Source organism: Homo sapiens, chromosome 1 (genome assembly GCF_000001405.40).
Source record: "Homo sapiens chromosome 1, GRCh38.p14 Primary Assembly".
In the NCBI taxonomy this organism is placed as follows: Eukaryota; Metazoa; Chordata; class Mammalia; order Primates; family Hominidae; genus Homo; species Homo sapiens.
Genome location: NC_000001.11, coordinates 165,514,740 through 165,535,421, shown reverse-complemented (window position 1 = coordinate 165,535,421; position 20,682 = coordinate 165,514,740). Strand labels below are relative to the sequence as shown.

General features: G+C 39.5%; 1 long non-coding RNA gene across 1 annotated transcript in view; it reads left to right on the top strand.

Moving 5' to 3' along the window:
- The window catches only part of LRRC52-AS1 (LRRC52 antisense RNA 1), a 105,314-nt gene that overhangs the window by 46,734 nt on the left and 37,898 nt on the right, over window positions 1-20,682 (top strand). Inside the window, exon 4 of the long non-coding RNA NR_026744.2 lies at window positions 12,335-12,448. This is a non-coding gene — a long non-coding RNA (LRRC52 antisense RNA 1). The remainder of the gene's footprint in view (window positions 1-12,334; window positions 12,449-20,682) is intronic.

Sequence of the window (20,682 nt, the reverse complement as noted above, 5' to 3'; positions counted from 1 at the left end):
CTCTCTATGGTATTTTCCCTTTGAAGTTCTCTTTCATGCACTCTGTTGGCCTTGAAGCTCCTGCTCACCCTTCAAGACCCAGTTTAAATTCCATATCTAGTTCAAATGCCAAGCCCCCTTGGATTCCTCTAGACAGAATTACTCTAAGCTTTCTTGGACTTTGTACTTTCATGGCAATTCTAATCACAAATATAAATTTCTGCCACTAGACTGTGAGTTCCTTGGGGACCACAGACCTCATCTTGTTTTATTTATTTGTATTTTTGTATAATGAATAGCTCATAATAGGTCCTGATTCAATCTTACTGAAGGAAATTATGTTAATGACATATTGCCAGTTAATAGTGTGAATTACGGTGTCATAAAGTTTTTTTAGGGGAATGAATTACCTAACCCAGATCTCAACTGTAGCTGTGCATATAAAAGTTCCACAGTTTCCTATTGAAGGAGGATTTTCTTCACATACATGGCAGCAGTAGTATGAAGATAAATCTAGTGTTTATTGCTGCCCCTTTGGTTAACTAGCAGAAAGCTCCAAGTTAGAGTCTACAACAGAATCACTTCCTTCATGATGCCTGTAGCATACTATAAATGCTCTAAATACTCAGGAATGGGATATCATGTAACTTAGTGGTTAAAACATGAATGTTAGAGGCAGGTGGACCTGACTTATCAGCTGTACAACTGGCAACTTATCAAACATCTCTTCAGTTTTGTTACCTGGGGATTATCATAATTTACTACTAAGATTGCTTTGAACATTAAATGAGCTATTCAGGCCATTTGATTAAAAGGGCACCTGGCATACAGAAAAGTGTTCAATAAAAGATAGTAGCTATTATTTTCATTTCATTTTATGGTTATGAATTATTAATAAAATAGCAATCCAAAATAATATAATAATATACATTCCCCCAAAGAAATAGCAACTGCAGTAAGAATTACTAATTTGCTGGTAAGTTAGAAATGGTTTGTTATTCTGAGTACTGTCAGAGGTTAGAGCCAGACCCATAATTCCAAAAGAGCTGCTCGGCTAAGGTTATCCTCAGAAGCTGTTCAGATATCCATGGTTCTAAGCACAGCAAGAGCAACTGGTAAGGTTTCTGCATGAAGCAGTCAAAGTCTATGTATGTTCAGGACCCTCCATGTGAATGAGGCTGGGACACAGCTGTGTGGATACAGACCTGCAGCATTGCCACACAAAGCATACGTGATGCAGGTAATCTATCTGCACACAATGCTGGATTGCATGACACTGTCATCCCCTGCACTGGATAAAAGCTCTTGACAATGAACTTTCTTGGGGGTGTTACAGGAAGGCTACTCTTAAAGCTTCCTCTTGATTCTCTCCTATCAGACCTGTCATTCTCAAATCTTGTGGTGCATTCTGACTAGGACAGGTGAGTGTGTGTGAGTGTGTAACCTTGGATGAATAAATTCATTAAAAATGGGATCTTATGTCCTTGGTGTCTTTTTAAACATTCCTCTTTATGATCATGCATTACCAAAGAGAAGTGTTGCTTTATTTGATCATTTGATCTTTGCTTTTACAATTACCAACCTCCGGCTGGGTGCGATGGCCTGTAATTCCAGCACTTTGGGAAGCTGAAGCGGTTGGAACCCTTGAGCTCAGGAGTTTGAGACCAGCCAGGGCAACATAGGGAGAACCTTGTCTCAATACAAAAAAAAAAAAAAAAGAAAGAAATTATCAACCCCCATCCTTTTTTTTTTTTTTTTTTTTTTTTGGTATGAGGTTTCTGCAGGCAACTTAAAGTACAACTGACTCTGATTCTTTTTTTTAGAGCATGAGAGGGAAATCATGTGTGTGTTGAGGTCTGCAAAGAAGGTCCGAGGAGATTACTAGGGTGTCCTTAAAAGACCCAGGAGTGTTCATGAGCTGGCCTCTAGCATTTGCCAAATCCATGAGAGGCCAGTGCCCCTTCGGAGGCTCCGGAAACTGCCTTGGCTGGGCAACTCATTCTCCTCCTCCCTCTTCTTGCTTCAGCTCCTGCTGAAAGTCAAGCATGGAGCCACGGAAAAGGCTAATTGGATTGGACTTAGGATTGGGGTGGGAGATCTAGCTGGAAAGAGCCTGGAACTGGAAATCTGGGGACCTGAATTTTAGTCCTGATTCTTTCATAAACTCACTATGCAACTTTAGACAAGTATTGCACTCCATAAACTTGTTTCCTCATCTGTGAATCAAGACAGCTATGGCTTTGGGTCTCAAGTTCTGCGGGGGCCAGGCCAGGGACAAACAGTGGCATGTGAAACAGCTCCTTCTCCTCCTAAACATTCTAGCTGTCCTTTAAAAATAGTATTGTCTAAACTAATGTGAGTGGTGCACCCTGGAATTGGCTGCGTGAGGTCTAGAACATCCAGGAGCCACTGGGAGAGGAGCGGACACTGTAACCTGGGGACAGCAAAGCTCTCAGATTCCTTGGGACGGGAGTGGAGAAGTATCCTTCCACAGAAGAGCCACTGAGAGCTCAGGAGAAGGACAGACTCTGGTCTTTGGTCTTGGAGGTGAGGAACCTCCCTCCTGCAAAACAAAATGAAACAAAAACAAACCTACAGGATGCGGTGATCTCCATTCAGATAACAAAGTGAACTTGAAAAGCTTAGGGACCCTGGGAGGCAATAGATGAGGCTGAGGAGTTCTATTGATAAGGCAAATGTGGCTTAGTCCACTGGGCCAGTTAGAACACCACCAGTGACCAGATAGAAGGAGATTTTTATAAATTGAAAAAAATAATTCATGTCCCTGGGGATAATTTAATACAGTACAAAAAATTATCATTGAAAAATAGGTTTCTCTGTTACTGGCTCCCCCTTGGTGTCCATTCCCAGAGGCAACCACCTTTTACAATTTCTTGTGTGTCCTTCCAGAAGGAGTCTAAGCAACAGTTGCACTTTGCTGTTTCATGGAACAATACATCTTAGAAATTGTTCTATACCAGGACACATATTCATTAATTAAACTCCTTGCCATGGTCACAGGGCCACATGGGCTCGTCCCCTGTCCATTGCTGTGATGTCCTCTCCCCTGACTCCCGTGTCTCACTCTGCTTAGCCACACTGGCCTCCTTCCTGTTTCTCTAATGTGCCAACACGTCCCCATCCTGGGACCTTTGTCCGTGTTGTTCTCCTCACCTGGAAGGCTCGTCCACCCTGTCCTTGGCATGCGTCACTCCTGTATGTCACCTCCCCAGACTGGCCCTCCCTGGTCATCCCATCTCAAAGAGCTCCCATCACTTACGTCTTCTTACTGTTTTTATTTTCCCTCACAGCACTTAGCACTACCTGGCATTATAGAACATAATTACCATTCCCTTGTTTATTTTCTGTTATTGCTGCTGGAATGTTAAGGAGGGCTGAGACTTTGTCTTGTTTTTCCACTGCTGTAATTTCAGTGCCTAGAACAGTCAGTGCCTGGCCCTTAATAGGCACTCAAATATTAATGAATACAATATTCAGGAAGCAATGAGATGTTTAGTTTAGAGGGCATGGCTTAGACTAGAGTTGGAGATAGAAGTTTGGGTATCATCAGACACTATTTTAAACTTTGGGATTGAATGTAGAGAGAGAATATAGACAGAAGAAGACCAGGGACTGATTCCTGGGTCCTTTTCACATTTAGATGTTGGGAAGAGGAAGAAGGTCTGACACAGGTGACTGAGATGGGACAGCCAATCAGGGAGGAGGGAAATATGAGAATATGGTGTCCCAGAAGCCCAGCCTAGATAGTATTGGCTAAGTCCGCTAAATCTTTCATATGTCTGCATAGTATTCCATTGCAACGCTGTGCCATAGCTTATTTAATTAGTCCTCTATCCACTGGTGTTTGAATTGTTGCCAGTCTTTGGCTGGTAAATAATGCTGCAGTGAATGCAGTTGTCTTTATCAGTAGTTCTGGGTGAGGCAATAGCAGGGAACTATTTAAAGATCTCAATTTTCTATAGAAGCAGAATGCATTCATGAGTTATTTAGATGTGGCATGGCAATAGCACTGGCTTGCTGAGAGCATTATATACATATATAAATGAATGTATTAATTGCATATGTAATGCACAAATAAATGAATATTGAGAGAGTCAGAGGTTAAGGGCAGGAAAGCCCTTTTGAAACCACTAGCCCCAGCCACTGCCTCCACGAGCAAGAAAACAAATTGTCCAAAGTCATCTGATACCTTGAACATAGCCAGGGTTAGAAAACAAGTCTCTTGACTTTCTGCCCACTCTTGGCAGAACTCCACAGTGCATGCAATGGCGTTTCTGATGATCAGCTTTGCCAAATTTGCTGAGCTGCAGGATATGGATATTTCTTGATTGAAGGCACTAGAGATAGATGAATGAGCAAAGATTTGAGACCAAACTGACTGGAGTGAATTTTGTCTCCAGCTTTTACTAGATGTGTGGCTACATACTTGACTCTGGACCTTGTTTTTTGTAAAACTCCTACTCTTGCCCTGTATGTAGCAGGCAGTAAATGTAAACTCCCATCTTTGCCCACCCATACTCTTTCTGTTTCTTCCAATGCAGTCCAACAATGAGAGAGAAACTGGAAACTTCCTTATAAAACTTGAAGAAAAACAAGACCACAGAAAGCAAACCAAAAGCAGTACTCTGTGTGTGTATGTGTGTGTAATTTAAGGCTTTGTCTTATTCTGGAAATAATGTCAACACAAATGTCTCTAAGCAAACTATTAATATGAATACATTAGGACTACCACTCTCAAAGGATGGGTGAAGATGGAAGTAAGAGAGACTAAGGAACACAGAAATCCCTAGATAGTCCTCATTTTAAAATTAAAAAATCCTATTTTTCTGAGTATAATACTTTTTTTGTGATTATTATGCTTTCTGCAAAAACATGAAAAATATAGAAAAGTACAAAAAGGAAAATAAGTTTAATGCATAATTCCATTATCACTATTAACATTTTGGTACATTCCCAGCCTTTATTCTATGCAGATACAGTTGTGGACCACTCAGCTTCCCCTTCCAGAAACACCTTGACTCCAGCTGTTAGCTCCTTCAAGACTGGGCTTAGCATTCGAGCCAAGGTCCCACTATTTTAGTGGTGGTCCCAGTAGGTGACTGGGCCAGCTTGTGCCACAAAGCCTGGCTACTTCTCCCAGTATAGGGCTCTTCTAAAGGGCGATCTTTGCTTTGTTGCTACTTGTTGGGCTGGCACTGATTTTCCACCTCTGCACTGTAGTTTGAGGGTCCCATGCAATTCTGCTGTTTGTCTTTCACAGGTATTACTCCCTGATAAAATATTTTGCTTTCCTAACTCCTTATTGTCTACATCCTGGAGAACCTAACTGTTCATACATATAGTTATATAGTCAAGCTTATATTATTAAATACAATGTGTATGTGTGTGTGTATGTATATATATGTGTGTGTGTATATATCATATATTAAATGATATAATATTTATCATATTATTAAATACAATGTGTGTATGTATAATTATTAAATACAATGTGTGTATATATATACACACACAGTATTGTCAATACTGTGTGATATTTAATATATGATAATATATAATATTATTAAATAAAATATGTGTGTATGTATATAATGTGTTAAATACAATGTGTGTATATATTATTAAATACAATGTGTGTGTATATATACACACACAGTATTGCAAATACCATGTGATATTTAATATATGATGATATATTATATTATTAAATACAATGTATATATATACATACACACATTGTGTTTAATAATATATACACACATTGTATTTAATACTATTTAATAATATGATAAATATATCGTTTAATATATGTTATATATGTTATATGTATTATGTATAAGATATAATAGATTATATATATTTTTATATATGATAAATATATTTGCTCTTTCATTATAATTCTTTATATACATTATTTTTTATTAACATTGCTTAGTATTTTCATTATTTGCATATAATAGAATGTTGATTTGTGCAAATTAATTGTGATTTAAATATTGCTGATGAATATTAACATACATAAATTTTCTAGAATATCCCCTATTGTTTCCATGAAATAGGTTCCCAGAGTGGAATTACTAGATCAATCTGTCTGAATATTTTTAGGGTCTTGGTAGGTAGTTATTAATTGCTCTAGGAGGATTACATCAGTTTATACTTTCATCAGTGTAATGGTTGTGTACACTTTACTGCACCATCACCTGCATTGTGTATTGCCATTACAATTACATTGACAGGCAAAAATAGTGTTTTATTGTATTATTTTGTACATCTTTGATTTTTACTAAAGTTGAACCTTAAAAATAAGTTTATTAGCTAATTGTATTTACTTTTCTACAAGTTGTCTGCTCTTTTTGTAATATCTTTTAATTTAGAGGGATTTAAAAATATTTTTGCCTGAAATCTATAGTTGAGAAGGCACTCCTTTCTCAGGCAATTCTCCCTCAGACTGTTTGGCTTTCTATTTGGTTTTGTGACACATAAGTGTTTTATATTTTTATGTAGACTGATCTTTTCTTCTCTTTTTTTAATTTATAAAGGAAAGAGGTTTAATTGACTCAGAGTTCCATATGGCTGGGGAGGCCTTGCGATCATGCAGATGGCGAATGAGGAGCAAAAACACATCTTACATGGTGGCAGGCAAGAGCAGAATGTTTTTCTTTTGGGATTTTTTCCATTGCTTTTTTGTGTGTGTATATGGGCGGACAGGGTCTAGCTCTGTCACTCAGGCTGGAGTGTAGTGATGTGATCATGGCTTCCTTCAGCATCAATCTCCTGGGCTCAAGTGATCCTTCTGCCTCAGCCTCTCAAGTAGCTGGGACTACAGGCATTTGCCACCACACCTGGCAAATTTTTTTTTCTGGTAGAGATAGGGTCTTGCTATGTTGTCTGGGCTGGTCTCAAACTCCTAGGCTCAAGTGATCCTCCTTCCTTGGCCTCCCATAGTAGTGCTGGGATTACCAGTGTAAGACATTGCACCCGGCCTCCATTGCTTTTATGTGTAGAATACCTTTCTTCATCTAGTGATCAGGCAAATCTTTGGCTTTCTTCTTAATAGTTTTATTTTTTTGTGTTTAACCATTTAATCCATCTGAGATTTATTTATGGTGTCAGGTGCAGCATCTACATGGAATTATTCCCAAATAATTTTCCTGGCCCCATTTATTGCTTGACCAAAGGCAAGTTTTTAAATCTCCTTTAACTTCCATTTCCTTATTAAGAGAGGATTATGCAAATGATACTTCACTGGGTTATTTTGAAGAAAAATAAAATAAAGTCATGGATCAGAAAGCATTTTATAAATGCTATAGAAATAATTGGTTTTTACAGTTGCTATCATTCACATGACCTAAGTGAGGAAATACTATGCGAAGAAATGCTTGTTTGATGTAGTCCTGTCTCAGTTCATTGACAACAACAACCCCAAACAAGGCTAGTTCCCTAGATCCTAACAAGCTCAAGACTTCTTGGACCGCCAGAAAGGGTTTACAGTATCACAGATGAGTTAAAAGCAGGCTATTTATAGTGAGTACACTTCAAGGGCACATATATTTAGGAGTGTGGAGCAAAGAAGAATGCAAAGCCTGATTGGGGTTGGGGGTGTGATCAGGGAAAGTGGCCAAAAGCCTTTCGTGGAGAGACAGGATCTGAGGAAGGGAAGGAGTTCATTATTATTCTCTGAAGTCATCAGGGAGCACCAAGAGGGTGGGATTTCAGGAAGTATTTAAATGAAAGGAGACACATGGCTTGGCACAGTGAGAGGGAGGTTTTCCAGGCTTCCTGTGCTGTCTTGGGGACCTGCTCAGAGGCTGGACCGCGTCATGCTCAGAAGGGTGAGTTGGACTGTACTCTCTTGGCCTGGCCATGGGTTCAATTCCTCATTTAGACAAGAAGAGAGACGTCTTGTTTCTCATCAGAGGGAGATGCAGAAGATGTTTTCTGGCAGTTGGAGGCCACTCTTAACCACTGAGGGGAGAATGGCTGAAGATCTAACATTATAAAGAAGGCGCTGAGAATTTAACCACTTCCCCTTTGAAGCCAAATTATTTACTGGCTTGTCTTTCTTCTCTTTTTAAATCTGCCAGCATGATTAAGATGTGTTTAGCAAGGTAGGGCTACAGAAGGTTTGATGGAACTCCTAAACGAATACTGTCTCTAAGAAATAGTAGAAGAGGAGACAACTGTGACAGAAGAAAAATAAGAGGAAAAGACATTCTTTGAGGTTAAGAATTCTATCTTCTTCATTTTTGAGTTATTTAGGGAGTTTAGTACATGGATTATTAGCATGTAGTGGGGGTACACTTTAAGCTGGTTGGTGGAAATAAATGAAGCACAGACGGCTTCATCTGTGTGAGAAACTGCCTTGGCTAGCGAGGAGTTAACATGGTGCTCTTGAGGAGTAATTGGTGGTGGCTGAGTTGTGGTAATAATGCACATTCCCTGCTTAAGTGCACATTTCCTGTTCAGGACAAGGATACGATGGGGTCTCTTAGAAGTAGGTGACTTGGGCAGTTCTTTTTATTGGGGGAAAAAAATGAAGATAATTTGGCCAGGCTTTGGAACCTAATTTCCCATGATTCTCATCACAGGGCCTTCATCCTAGCCGGGCGAGTCTACTCATTATTCTTTACATCTAAACAGACTGTGCAGATCCTGCTCGGCGCCCTTGTTTACGCTGTTCCTGGCAAGGGCGGCGCCTGCTTCTCTGCCCTCTGCTGGGATCTTACCCTCCTTCAAGGTCCAACACTCGCTGCTTTTGCAAAGCTGCTTTAAAAAGCGTTCATCCTTTTCCAGTAATTTCTCCCTCTCCGAATTCTTTTTATTTTATTATTTATTTATTTAGTTATTTTGAGAGGGAGTCTCGCTCTGTCACCCAGGCTGGAGTGCAGTGCGCGATCTCGGCTCACTGCAAGCTCCGCCTCCCGGGTTCACGCCATTCTCCCGCCTCAGCCTCCCAAGTAGCTGGGACTACAGGCGCCCGCCCCCAGGCCCTGCTAATTTTTGTATTTTTAGTAGAGACGGGGTTTCACCATGTTGGCCAGGATGGTCTCGATCTCCTGACCTCGTGATCCACCCTCCTCGGCCTCCCAAAGTGCTGGGATTACAGGCGTGAGCCACTGCGCCCGGCCTGAATTCTTTAACTAGCTATGATTGTCTATGTGACTCAAATAACACTTATATACTGTGATGTAAAGTTAGTGTTTTACACACATATGTTTAAATCTCTAACGAGATAATGTATTTCTTATGATCTGAAACCTAGTTTTATATCCTTCTTACTGCTCCCTTCCCACTGTGGTGGTTAGTACAAATCTGGCCCCATGTCAGGTGCTCAAAGATTACTTGATACGTTATTTGACGATTTCAGAAGATTCCATGAAGCTCATCACCAGGTAAATCATGACATCTTATTCTTTTTGTGATGCTAACAAGGTAGGAACAAAGGCTGTGTCCTAATTAAGCTTAGCACATTGACAGCACTCTCAAGGGAAACAAAATAGTTGTTGTGAGGGTGGATAAGTAACTGGTCAGTGTTTCTCCTCTCGTATTCTACTGGCAAAACTGGCTCCATGGATGCAAAGTCCATTGAGGCATGGCCTGTTCTGTTTGCACAAGCTGAGTGTGGGAGACAATAGGGCACTGATGATTACAAGACAGTGTGGTAAATATTATAATAGAGTTGTGTATAAGAAGCTATGGGAGTCCAGAGAAAGGGCCTGGAAATGAGGCTGGGTTAGGTTGTCAGGGAAGGCTTCCTGCAAGAGGTAGTGCTTGACTTGAATTTAGACTTAGAAGAAAGGAAGGAAAAGATTTTTTTCCGTCACAGCCCTAGTTAGGAAAGAGTGTTTGGGGAAATTTAGAAGGGAAACTTTTCTAAGATAAAGTTATTTTATGAAGAAGCAGCACTGGGAAATTAAGGAGATTTAATTACAACTGCCTCACGAGCAGGATTTGAAAAGGAGTGGGAGGCTCATGGAAACCTTAATTGCTGAGAAAAGTTAAGAGGAGAAATATGACAGAAGTAATGGGTCTATATGTATGTCATGTCTGATTTGTCACTTTTCTAGACAGGCACTCTGCCTCCTGCCTTATTCTAGGTTAGAGAAAAAAGGATCCTTCAGCAGCTAAGGTGAAGATACCATCCAGGATGCAGAAATGGGACCTGGAAAGACTCCGTATTCCTTTTAGGGAAGAAAAGGTCCATCTCGAATTACCTCATTGTTCAGAGAATAATAAGTATTTGTTCAGCAATAACAATGTGTGAGATGCCTGAAAGAGAAATCAGGCTAAATAATTTCCTCATTCCTTTGGAAAATACAAAACAGCTTGCCTGGTTTCTCTTCCAATTTATTCTTGTGGCTTTTTATTCCTTTGGAGATCTGGGAGGATGCTTATTTTATGAAACTTGTAGACTAGCCCTTCTGTATTCAGGGAGGATGTCCTTGTGTGCATTAAGCTGGGTCTTTAAGATTAATGTAATACATGGGAAAATGTGATAAATGATGCAGCATTAGCAGCTTTTAGCTTGTCAAAGTGGCCGCATGTTGAAAGCATCTGGAAAAATTGCAAATTGCAGCATGATCAGAGCATAACTGACAGATGTCAACACAGAGAAGTGGCCAAATGAGCGGGATGGAACCAGACCCAGCTTCCTGGGTTGTGTGCACAGGGATTGCTAGAGAGACGGCAGGATTTAAAGATGATGTCTTTTGTAACTGTTAGAGCATAGAAGTGCTAGAAGGAACAAGTCTGTTGGTACAGACAAAAGAGAATCTATGTTACTGAGAAGAGAATAGTTTTCATACACAAGTAGAATGATAAGACTGGATCTTCTCTAATGTCCTGTCCAACACGAACTGGGATCCCATGACTCTCTGAAACAGGATTTAATGAGATTTTGTATAGGCTCTAATATCTCATAGACCAAGGGAGCCCTTGGATACATATATATTTTTCTGCCATCCTTAAGCTTTAATAGTTTACATTTGTGTAATACTTTACAGTTTGTGGGAGCCTAATCTCCCAGACTATTGGTTATCTGTTGTCAAAATAATGCTGTGTAACAAACAACTATGAAATCACAGGGGCATACAACAATATGGGTTTATTGCTCGTAAGTCTAGAGGTTTGCTACATGACTCTGCTGATTTTGGCTAGGCTTATTCACATACTTGGGGGTTTGGGGCTGTCAATTGATCTGAGCTATCAGATGACCTGGGGGACTCAGCTCTGATCCATGTGCCTTTTATCTTTCATGAAGCTAACCTAGGCATGTTCTCATGGTAATGAAAGAAAAGATAGAAGAGGCACAAGAAAGCAAGCAAACATTGCAAGGTCTCATATAATGGCCAAAGCAAGTCACATGAATTCCGTGCCAAGGTGTGGGGAAATGTACTCCATTCCTTTTGATAGAGAAATTTCACCTGGCAAAGGGTGTAGATACAGGGAAGAGAAAATAATTAGTACAATTATAGCAATTTACCATACAGATATTGCCTTGTTTAATCTTCATGGTATAATCCTTTACCCATGAAAATTGGTATTAATATTATTCCCTCTTTCGCAGATTAAAAAAAAAAGGAAACCAAAGTAATAAGAAATTGCTGGGTGTGGTGGCTTGCACCTGTGATCCCAGCTATTTGGGTGGCTGAGGTGGAGGGAACTGCCTTAGCCCAGGACAACATAGTGAGACCTCCATCTCTAAAAAAATAAAAGCAAATTAGCTGGGCATGGTGATGCATGGCTGTAGTCTCAGCTACTTGGGAGGCTGAGGTGGGAGTATCACTTGAGTCCAGGAGTTCAAGGCTGCAGTGAGCTATGATCACACCACTGTGCTCCAGCCTGAGTGACAGAGTGAGATTTCATGTCTAAAAAAATAAAAAAGATTTTCTTCTAAGGCCACATGGCTGGTCAGTAACATTTCAGAAAGAATAATGCTAGTCTCCCTATTGCAAATGTAAGGAAATTTCCATTGTACCATACCATGCTTAATTAAGATGATAAATCCCAAGGATTTTGTCAGAAACTTCCTAAAGGTAGACTGGTAAAATAAAGTGTGTGGCCCTTGATTTTGTGTGAGTTGGAGAATACACAAACTTTTACTTAGGTTTTCTTAATCTATTTATGAATTTCTTAGTGCCCCTATAAGATATAACATTTTCACGTAATAATATATTAATCCAAGGAATTCACTAGCCATGTGAAATTTACTTTACTTGTTAATTAGGTAGTTACTAGGTCTATTTGTAAGAGTAGGTGAGCTGCTGTAACTATGTACTCCTAAATCTTAGTGATATAGAGTAATAAAAGTTTATTTCTTATTCATATTGCCCAGAACTCAGGCACGTGGCCACATCTAACAGCAAGGGAGTCTGGAAAACACAGTTCAGCTGTGTGAAGGATATTTATAAACATTTAGCAAGATCCAAAGGAATGGACCATAGCACAGGTAAGTTTTCCAGGGAGACTAGGAGATATATAATAGGTAAAGGAATATGGAAGAGAAGAGTCCATAGCTGAAGACTCTATCCAAAAATTTGTTTTGGCTTCTAAGACATTGCACACAATCTACTCCCTACTTAGCAGGCAGAGTGATCATTATGAATTAGGATTTAAGAATTTGAATCTGATTATGTCACTCTACTGCTTAAAAACCTTCACTGTTTACCATAATAACAAATGCTTAATGTGGTTACACAGTCTTCCAAAATGAATCCTCTGTCAATTTTATCTATTGCACCTTTGCATTCACTCTTTTCACTTAGTTATAAGTCTTTTTAATTTGCCTAAAGTGTGAGGATCTCTCCTTACCTGTAGGCTACTAATCATGCCATTTCTTTTGTCTCTTGGACCCTCTTCTCTGAAACATTGCTTACCCTTTCTTTTTCTGACTAAGATCTCCTTCTTTAGTTCTCAGCTAAATAATTATACCCTAATGTTAGGCAAAGTTAGGTCCAAAATTAAGATACCAAATTACAGATCCAGAAAACTCAGAGATCATCAAGCAGGATAAATAGCAAAACACACACATCTACATATATAATCCAAATCACTGAAAATGAAAAACAAGGGATATTCTGAAAGGTAACCAGAAGTAAAAGACACATTGCATTTAGATGAACAAAGACAATTACAGCAGACTTCTTAGTGGAAACAGCCAGAAGACAGTGGAGTGGCATTCTTACAGTTGAAAGAAAAAAAATTGTCAACCTAGAATTCCATACCCAGCAAAACCATTTTTCAAAAATGAGGAAAAATTACAGATCTTAGGCAAACAAAAACTGGAAGAATTTATTTCCAGCAGACCTGAGCTACAAGAACTGTTAAAGGAAGTTCTTTGGGCAGACAAACATGATACCAGACAGAATCTTGAATTTACTCAAAGAAATGGAGAGCACTGTAAATGAAGGTAAATTTAAATATGTTATCCAAACTTTTGCTTTGTGTTCTTTTCTTCTGCGATTTCAATTACACGCATATTAGACTTATATTGTCGCACAACTCTTGGGTGCTCTGTTCTTTTTTTGTTGTTGTTGTTGTTTTGCCTACTCTTTTTTCCTTTGGGTTTCAATTTGGGTAATTTGTTGTTGTTGTTGCTAGATAGAGTCTTGCTCTGCTACCTAGGCTGGAGTGCAGTGGCATGATCATGACTCACCACAGCCTCTACCTCCTGGGCTTAAGGGATCCTCCCACCTCAGCCTCCCTGGTAGCTGGGACTACAGGCACACAGCACTACACCCATGCTAACTTTTTAAATTTTTTGTAGAGATGGAGTCTCACTATGTTGCCCAGTTTGGTCTCAAACTCTTGGGCTCAAACAATCCTCCTGCTTCAGCCTCCCAAAGTGTTGGAATTACAGGCATTAGCCACTGCACGTGGTAAATTTGGGTAATTTCTATTGGCTTATTTGAGTTTCACTTATTCTTTCCTTGGCTGTTTCAAGTCTACTGATGAGTCAGTTGAAATCATTCTTCAGAGCTGCTGTCGTATTTTTTATTTCTATCATTCCCATTAGATTCTTTCTATAGTTTTCATCTCTCTGCAGAAATTACCCATCTCATCATACCTGTTGTCACTTTTTCATCTGGAGTATTTTAACATAATAATCATAGTTATGTTAAATTCCCCTTTAGATAGTTCTGCCATGTGTCATATCTGAGTCTGGTTCTGTTGATTGCTATTCCTCTTGACAGTGTTTTTGCTTTTCTTGTTTCTTTGTATACCTTCTAATTTTGTGATGAATGCCAGACATCTTGTGTAGTTTAGTAGAGGCTGAGTTAAATACAGTCGTGTGACACATATGATGTTTTGGTCAATGACAAACCACATATACAACAGTGGTTCCATGAATTTATAATATTGTATTTTTACTTTGCTTTGTGCTTAAATATGTTTAGATATACAACTACTTACCTTTGTATTACAATTGCTTACAGTCTTCAGTACAGTAACAGGCTATACAGATTTGTAGCCTAGGAGCCATAGGCTGTACCATATGGCATAGCCTAGGTGTGTAGTAGGCTACATCCATGTTTCTGTAAGTACACTCTGTGATGTTTGGACAACAACGAAATTGCGTAACAACACACTTCCCAGAATGTATCCCCTCTGTTAAGAGATAGATGACTATAGCTGTTAGACCTGGAACTGGGCTTGCTTTTCCTTATTCTTGGCATTTAACGTAGGAGATGAGTCAATCCTCCTAAGAGTTGAACCAGTTTGGGATTTTTTTGTTGATATGGTTACCCTCAGCGTAACACAGTTTTCATATTCCTCCATATCTTGTGTTTAGGGTGGGGGCTGGTTTGCCAGAAGGTTTTTTCCAATATCTGCTCTATACTCAGCTTTAGGTCTTCCCTTTGCATTGTGCCCAGTGAGGGTCTCTCTCCCTGCTTTTGCATCTCTCTCAGTAGTAGACTACTACTATTTGTTACTAGATTCTTGTTAGCCTGGTGGTAGGGTATGGGGGAAGCATTCTCTGTTGTTCTAAATAAGCCTCAGTTGTAGGAAGTCCTAACCAGAGCAATCAGTCAAGAGAAAGAAATAAAAGGCCTCCAAACAGGAAAATAAGTCAAATTATCTCTCTTTGTGACAATATGATTCTATACTTAGAAAACTTCAAGACTTTACCAAAAGGCTCCTAGACCTGATAAGCAACTTCAGTAAAGTTTTAAGATACAAAATCAATGTAAAAAAAATTAGTAGCATTTTTATACACCAATAACGTTCAAACTGAGAGCCAAATCAAGGATGTAATCCCATTTACAATAGCCACACACACACACACACACACACACAATAAAACACTGCTGAAAAAAATCAGAGATAATACAAACAAACGGAAAAACATTTCATTTTGGAATGAAACGTTTTTCATTCCAAAAACATTTGGAAGAATTAATATTGTTAAAATGGCCATACTGCCCAAAACAATCTATATTCAGTGCTGTTCTTATCAAATTACTAATTATCATTTTTCACAGAATTAGAAAAAAACTATTTTAAATTCATATGGAATCACAAAAGAGCCTGAATAGCCAAAGCAATTCAAAGCAAAAAGAACAAAGCCAGAGACATCACATTAACTGACTTCAAACTGTATTATCAGGCTATAGTAACCAATACAGCATGGCACTGGTAAAAACAGACACATAGACCAATGGAATAGAAGAGAGAACTCAGAAACAAAGCCAGACACAACCATCTGATCTTTGACAAGGTTGGCAAGAATAGCCAATGGGAAAAGGACTGCCTATTCAATAAATGGTGCTGGTGTAACCAACTAGCCATATGCAGAAGAATGAAATTGGACCCCTACATTTCATCACATACAAAAATTAATTCAAGATGGATTAAAGATTTAAATCTAAGACTTCAAACTATAAAAATCCTAGAGGAAAACCTAGGAAATACCCTTCTGGACATTAGATTTGAGAAGGAATTTATGAGTAACTCCTCAAAAGCAATTGCAAAAAAAAAAAAAAATAAGACAAATGGGACGTAATTAAACTAAACAGCTTTTGCATAGCAAAAGAAACTATGAAGAGGGTAAACAGATAGCCGACATAGTGGGAGAAAATATTTGCAACAATGTATCCGACAAGGGGTCTAATATCCAAAAATCTATAAGGAACTTAAACAATTCAACAAGCAAAAAACATATAACCCTATTAAAAAGTGGGCAAAGGACATGAACAGACACTTCTCAGAAGACATACAAGCAGCCAACAAACATGTGAAAAATGTTTCATATCACCAATCATCAGAGAAATGAAAACGCCAAAGCCACAATGAAATATCATCTCACATCAGTCAGAATAGAAATTATTAAAAAGTTAAAAAAAAAAACAGATACTGGCAAGGCTGTGGAGAAAAGGGAACGCTTATATACTGTTAGTGATAATGTAAATTAGTTCAGCCACTGTGGAAAGTAGTTTGAAGATTTCTCAAAGAACTTAAAACAGAACTACCATTTGACTCACCAATCCTATTAGTGGGTACATACCTAAAGGAAAATAAATCATTCTACAAAAAAGACACATGCACTTGTATGTTTAGTGCAGCACTATTCACCATAGCAAAAATGTGGAATCAACCTAGGTGCCCATCAACGGCGGATTGGATAAAGAAAACGTGGTACATATACACCATGGAATACTATGCAATCATAAAAATGAATAAAATCATATTCTTTGCAACAGCATGGATGCAGATGGAGGCTATGCTCCTAAGCAAATTAACAACAGGACCAAAAAACCAAATATTGCATGTTCTCACTTATAAGTAGCAGCTTTACATTAGATATTCATAGACATAAAGATGGCAACAAGGCCGGGCACGGTGGCTCACGCCTGTAATCCCAGCAATTTGGGAGGCTGAGGCAGGCGGATTGCGAGGTCAGGAGTTTAAGAACAGCCTGGCCAATATGGTGAAACCTCCTCTCTACTAAAAACACACGTGAACCCGGAAGGCGGAGCTTGCAGTGAGCCGAGATCGCACCACTGCACTCCAGCCTGGGCAACAGAGGGAGACTCCGTTTCAAAAAAACAAAACAAAAAAAAAAGATGTCAAGAATAGATACTGGGGACTACTAAAAGGGGAGAGGAGGGAGGGAATAAGGGGTGAAAAACTACCTGTTGGGTGCTACGCTCACTACCTGGGTGACAGAAATATTCATACTCCAAACCTCAGCATCAAGCAATATACTCATGTATAGCAAACCTACATATGTACCCCCTGAATCTAAAATCAAATTTGAAATTATTTTAGAAAGAAGTCTCAGGTATAGGCAGGCATTGTGTCTCTGAGTCTTGGGGGTGGGGCTTTCTCAGTGGTCCTCTTTTACCGTTAGCTCTAGGTCTGGGCCCAAAACATATACTTGCTTCTTCCTATAGCTGTAGAGTTTGCCCCCCACCTCTCTCCTTCTCCCAGGTGCAATGGTTTCTTTATCAGTGCTCTAAGAGTGACAGGGATTGTTGCCTTCCACCAACATTTTAAGGCTTTTGTTCTGTGGGGGAGATATCAGGGACAAAGATCCAAATGTGGCTTTATGCATTTCCCGTGGGGGCAGCTGTTACTTTCTCCCAGGCTTGCAGCACATGGGATGCTATCTGAAGTCTCTTGTCCTGCTCCCCATCTTTTATGTGTGTACTCAGTAAGGTCTGTGGGGAAAAGCCTGCAAGAAGGGGTAAATTCTCCTTTGTCTGGGTCCCCAGGGCTTTAATAGTCTCTTGCTAGCCTAAACTCAGCCCTTAACAATTTGCTAAAAATTTTCATTGAATTATCCTTATCTGGGAGCAGTGGCCTCTGCCCTTGGTAATCAAGTGCTTGTGTTTGTCTCCCTTTGGAGATGTCCATGTTTCCTTAGATTTTGGGTTTGCTGGTTTCCCTTTCAACCTCAGCTCTCTGATAGGTTCAAGAAAAACAAATTTGTAGATTATCCAAAATTTTGGGGGGTGTAAGGGTAGAAGCAATGTTCTTTCCAGTTTATAAATTCTAAATGGGAAACAAATGAATAATTTAAAAACATTGTTTATTTTTCCAGTTGACAAGAGTTTAGAATACTATTTCTCATGGTGTCATCTCCAGACCATCTGTAATCAGAATGGTGAGCATATTAAAAATGTTGATTCTGAAGCCACTCTCTAGACTTACAAATCTGAAAATCCAAGGGCATTCATTTTTTGAAGCTCACCAGGTGATTCTTATGCATTTTAAAGTTTAAGAATTGTTGGATTCAAAATGAGCAGTTCGAAGGTCAAAACACGATACTCCAAAATATGGTTCTTTCGTGTGCTACATACTTAGAATTGAAAAAGATTGGAATTGGGAGGCCGAGGCGGGCGGATCACGAGGTCAGGAGATCGAGACCATCCCGGCTAAAAACGGTGAAACCCCGTCTCTACTAAAAATACAAAAAATTAGCCGGGCGTAGTGGCGGGCGCCTGTAGTCCCAGCTACTCGGGAGGCTGAGGCAGGAGAATGGCGTGAACCCGGGAGGTGGAGCTTGCAGTGAGCCGAGATCCCGCCACTGCACTCCAGCCTGGGCGACAGAGCGAGACTCCGTCTCAAAAAAAAAAAAAAAAAAAAGAAAAAGATTGGAAGGGTCTCAGAAACAAGGTCTTTCTGACCTGTCTCCCACCTGTCTTTCTTTCTGGAAGTGAGTCACATACAATTCCTCTCCCCTAAAGCAGGTCACAGAAACTAAAACTTCTCTCCCCAAAGCAAGCCACAAAACCTAAAAAGTTCACTCTCTGATCTTCTTCTTTATGTGACAGATGTTCTGTCCTATGCATGGAGGAAAGAGTGTTACACAGAGAGGTCAAGAAGAATCTGGACAGGCCTTGCTACTCCCTCTCCCAACACCCTAAGTCTACTACTGTTAGTTCATACCCTTTTGTCCAATCACATTTTTACACAGCTATCCATTCTTCACTGAAACCAAGCATAAAAAAAATCAATATTTTTCCCTGGGTTGTTGGTTCTTCATTTCCTTCTTTTTTCTTTTAAGAGACAGGGTCTTTCCACGTTGCCCAGGATGGACTCAAACTCCTGGGCTCAAGCTATCCTCCCACCTCAGCCTCCTGAGTAGCTGGGACTACAGCAGGCACCACCATGCCCAGCTCTTAGGTCTTCATTTCCGAAGTCTCCTGTGTCACATAACATTTTGGTTTTAAATAAATTTGTAATGCTTGCCTCTTATTAATTTGTCCTTTATTATAGGAGTGTTGGTTGTAATCCTTGTGATGGGTGATCAAAAAGGCATTACACATTTTTTCACCCCTACAGCAGGAAAAATGTATTAGCACTTGTGTTGTACCAGTGTAGGAAGAGAATTGCTTTCATCTACTCTTCTAGGTTCTTTGCTGGCCTACAAACTAAATTGACATAAAACAGATTAACAGGAGAAAAGCCATTTTAATAGTGTATGCATGGGAGTCCCACAAAAATGTGACTTAAAGAAATGGTGAGATGATTGAGGCTTATAACAGCATGCTGAGCTACACTAAAGAATAAGAGTTAGGGGCTTCTGTGGGGTATGCATACTAGTTAGGAAAGAATGAGGGGAGGAAATGCATGGTGAACAAAGATTGTCTTGTTATGAAGATAAAAGTTTCTCAGGTGATAAATGTTATCTTGGAGCAGCTCTCTTTCTGGTACAGACATCTTTACTAATAAAAATTTCCTTTATAAATGTAAATTTCCTTTACAAAAGGGCAACTTTTCAGAGCTACGCTGTGTCTGCAATTTCTCAAAATAACCTGCTCAAAATGATATGCCAAAAAGGTCTATTTTTGGGGTGGTGTATTTTGGTCTCCTGCAGTCATATTTTGGGGTGGTGTGTCTTGAGCTCTAACACCTGTCATTTTTTTTTTTTTTTTTTTTGAGATGGAGTTTTGCTCTTGTTGCCCAGGCTGGAGTGCAATGGCGTGATCTCAGCTCACTGCAGCCTCTGCCTCCCAGGTTCAAGCGATTCTTCTGCTTCAGCCTCCTGAGAAGCTGAGATTACAGGTGCCCGCCACCACGCCAAGCTAATTTTTTGTATTATTAGTAGAGATGGGGTTTCCTCATGTTGGCCAGGCTGGTCTTGAACTCCTGATCTCAGGTGACCTGCCCACTTCGGCCTCCCAAAGTGCTGGGATTACAGGCGTGAGCCACCACGCCCAGCCAACACATGTCACTTTTTACAAAGATTATCTTATTTAAATCTCATAACAAACCTCTGGCATAGGCACTTTGTTATTCTCTTTACATACAATGTAACTGGGCCTCAAAGACAATTAACATGTCCGAGATTACATAGCCTCTATGTGGCAAGACCAGGATTTGAACACAGGTGGCCTGATTCTAAAACCTGAGACCTTTTAAAAATTGAGATATAATTCACATAACTTTATCTTTTGAAGGGTACATTCAGTGGTTTTTAGTATATTCACAAGGTTGTGTACCCATCACCACCATCTAATTTCACATTTCATTTTAATCACCCCAAAAATAAACCTCATACCCACCAGCAGTCACTCCCCCATTCCTCCCTCTCTCCAGTCTTTGGCAACCACTAATTTACTTTATGTCTCCATGGATTTGTCTATTCAGGACGTTTCATGTAAATACAATCATAAAATATCTACATAGTGTATTTGGCTTCTTTCACTAGTGAAGCTAGAGATCTTAGTCACTATG